General features: G+C 35.4%; 1 annotated feature.

The window, feature by feature from the left end:
* Positions 2215-2996: an enhancer, noted in NCBI's record as "OCT4-NANOG hESC enhancer chr9:76462239-76463020 (GRCh37/hg19 assembly coordinates)". NCBI's record gives its function as "activates a minimal SCP1, AML or CMV promoter by ChIP-STARR-seq in primed H9 embryonic stem cells {active_cell/tissue: H9 hESC(primed)}" and the evidence as "EXISTENCE:reporter gene assay evidence [ECO:0000049][PMID:30033119]".

Raw genomic sequence — 3721 nt, 5'->3', positions numbered from 1 at the left:
CACCTTTCTAACAGCTCACTAATTCATAAGGCAGCCTATCTTATTATTGGATCACTAGAATGATTTTATGGTTTTAACCAATAGCCAGAATATATCTGATTATAATTTCTGCTGGCTGGTGTTAATTTTTTACTTAAGATTTACTTAAAATTATTCTACTTAGTCTTCTACATGTCAAATCTTCATGTATTTTATGACAGCTTTTAAAGACTGATCTCCCCCCAAAACTATATTTTTCATTCCAAGCTAGATACTTCTAGTTTCTTAAACTTATTTTTATCATATAATACCATAATATAATATCAAATTTCCAATGTGACCCAGAAAAATTTCTCTGTATATCCTTTTGACAGGCTATATATGGATTCCAGCCTGGCCAGTATGGTGAAACCTGGTGTCTACCAGAATAAAAAAATTAGCTTTGTGCGGTGATGGGTGTCTGTAGTTCCAGCTACCTGGGAGGCTGAGACAGGAGAATTGCTTGAATCCGGGAGGCAGTGGTTGCAGTGAGCCGAGATCGCACCATTGTACTCCAGCCTGGGCAACAGAGTGAGAGTCTGTCTCAGAAAATAAATAAATAAATAAATAAATGAAATAAACACAAAATTTTAGGGTGAACTTATCAAAAAAATTACCATTGTTTTAAACTTATGAACTCTTAACGACATATTTTTCCATTTTACACATAGGGAAAAAAAGTTACATATTGCAAGTCAATCAAATAAGAACTTTTGAGCATTTCCTCTAACAGTTCTCCATCATTTTCTTTCTATAATTAAAAGCAGTTGTATAAAGTTTAATAAACTTTTGATACATTTTATTACAGAATATTTTAAACCCTCCAAAAAGTTTAGAAGCAAATTCAATGAACACTTCTACCACTACCATTAAAATTTACAGAGGTTAAATGTTCTGATTGTTTCTCTGAAAATAAAATAACACAGATACGAACGGAGACTCATTTATACCACTCCCCTATCCCATTCGCCTACTTCTCTCCTCTGTAGCACAAGAGAACCAGTATTCTTCTGTGTTGTTAGGCTTTTAGTACATATGCTTGTGTCCATATATAGTAACCGGTATCTGTCTTGTCTTAATATTTTTAGCTCTCCTCATACCATTGAATCATCGTGGAAGGTTTTTTTTCTAGTCTTTCCTTTTCAGATTCTTCTTTTAAAATGGTGTTACTTCTGCCCTTTGTCACCCTGTAGTGTAAAGCTTAATCACAGAAAATTATTATTACTGATGACTAGATTCTACCCACATTTATATCCATATGCCTACCTCTTGCAGAGAGAGTATTTTGTTGAGTGTATTAAACGCTAAGGGAATGACTCATTTGTGCATCTTTTATTTTACATAAGTTAAATATTTTGAAATGTTAATTGGAAATGCAAACTTCTGTGTAGTAAGAACTGATTTAAGGTAAACAGTCCCTGTATTACTTCTTCAGGGTAACCTGCAAACAAGATTTTTTTTTTTTTTTTTTTGAGACGGAGTCTCGCTCTGTTGCCCAGGCTGGAGTGCAGTGGCGCGATCTCGGCTCCCTGCAAGCTCCGCCTCCCTGGTTCACGCCATTCTCCTGCCTCAGCCTCCCTAGTAGCTGGGACTACAGGCGCCCGCCACCACGCCCGGCTAATTTTTTTGTGTTTTTAGTAGAGACGGGATTTCACCTTGTTAGCCAGGATGGTCTCGATTTCCTGACCTCATGATCCACCCGCCTCAGCCTCCCAAAGTAAACAAAATCTTCTTTTACCATGGAAAAAAACTCAGCCATATACTGGGTCATATGTCATACAGTCATATGATGTGAATACAAAATTTGATATGGAACCAGGGGAACTTGACCTTCTCTATGTTTGCTTACTGCTGATGTCTCCTTCGGTGAATGGATATGTTAACTACTCTTCAATTAACAAATTGCAGAAACTTCCATTATTTGGACACTTAATTTTGTCCAACTCCTTTCTACAGTAATGAATTCTAAACTCATGACAACAAAGCATCCATTTATTTTCCGTCTGATTTGTTCAATTTTCATAATACATTTCATGTTACAGTTTATTTTAAATACTACTTGTAGGTCTGTTGAGGGAGGAGAACAAAGAATCATGTGTGAAGATGATAAGTTAGAATGAGGAAAAACAAATGGATAAAGTAATGTGGATGGAAATTGATGAAAAAGAAAACTGATATTTCTCTGGAAAATTATTCTGAGCTAGTTTTTTTAAAATAATGTCTTGTGAAGTTTGCTAGACTGCCTCTGTCCTTCTTCGGAAAGTAACTATCTTTCATTTTTGATTTAATTGTTGAGAACATAGCAGTGTGATAAAAGTTTTTTATGGAAATTTCTCACAGCAACACAATCAATCATATTTCCAACTCATGTGCTGTCTTGAGCCCCTGAGCCTCAAAGACTTTTTTTTCTTCTGGGGAGCTTACTTGTTAAATTAGCACTGATCAAAGGCTAAAACATTTGTCATGCTTATTAGTGAATAAACCTAGCAGCAGGTATCCCAAGTGAGGAAGCAAATCCTCATTTCCTGCAAGAATGAATTGGAAATTATTCAAACTGCTTGCAAACATTTTTCAGGAGTGACGAATTGTCAAAAAGAAAGCAGCTGCTAGATGTGGCAGCAACCAGGGTTAGCGGGAAAAAAAGCATCTTTCGAAGATATCTTCAAACTAGCCCATGGGGATGTTCTGCAGTTTGATTTACTCTAATTGCCTTTGAAATCCTGCATCAGCTGACCTTACCAATGAGCTCCAAAATAACACCCCAACTAAGACAATTTTGAAACTACAAGTTCTTCACCCTTTTGCTCTTCTTACTCCTTGTTGTTGTTGTTTATAAGAACGCAAACTGACAAGTACCAAATTGATAGACTTTTGTTTTCATTTATTGACAAATGATGCCCAGTGCTGATTTTGCAGGAGTTACTGTCTCATTAGCATAGTTTAATCAGGTGGCAGACGTAACAATGGAGGGAAACATGCACTGACAATTATTTTCTCCAGTTTTAAACTTTTCTAAAAAAAATTGAGAATATTAAAATCCCTTGGCACACTTGGCTTTTACATCACACTGTAATAAGTTAGAAATATTTAAAATTTTCTCCAGGTGATCGTGAATGAATAAATAAACAAAGGAAATATTTCATGTAACTTTAAGTTAATCAATGAAATATATAATATAAGCATGGGTGTCTGAAATTGCACAGGGTTGCAACCCAGCATTATACCTTTTATTTTAGAGCTAATGGTTCTGTAGGTGCATTCACTTTATTTCTGAGAATTATGATAAAACCAAATAGTACTTTTGGAGATTACTCGAGAACAAGATATAACCCTCCCTTTGCAAATACACCAACTTATATTTAAGAAAGGAGGGAGTCACATTATATTTTTGATGAATTTTTAAAAACAATCAGATCCAATGTAGATATTTCAGGTCAGATACATGTGGTAACATAGGTTAGTATCTGAAAAAACGTAACTATGTGATGAGGAGGGGTGTGGTATTGTGAGAAGGAGGTGCTTAGAAAAATTATAAATAATCAGGGCATCATTTTTAATTGCGTCACTTAAGTTAAAATGAAAAGACCGTTTATTGCCTCCCACACGTTTTTCCGCAATAAGAGTTCAGTCATCCTTTGAATAATGATAGGCACCTCAGTTTACAAAGAGCATACATCCCAGTCTTTTATCCCATATGAAAAGC

Source organism: Homo sapiens, chromosome 9, assembly GCF_000001405.40.
Source record: "Homo sapiens chromosome 9, GRCh38.p14 Primary Assembly".
Lineage (NCBI taxonomy): Eukaryota > Metazoa > Chordata > Mammalia > Primates > Hominidae > Homo > Homo sapiens.
This window is presented reverse-complemented; position numbering and strand designations above follow the sequence as displayed.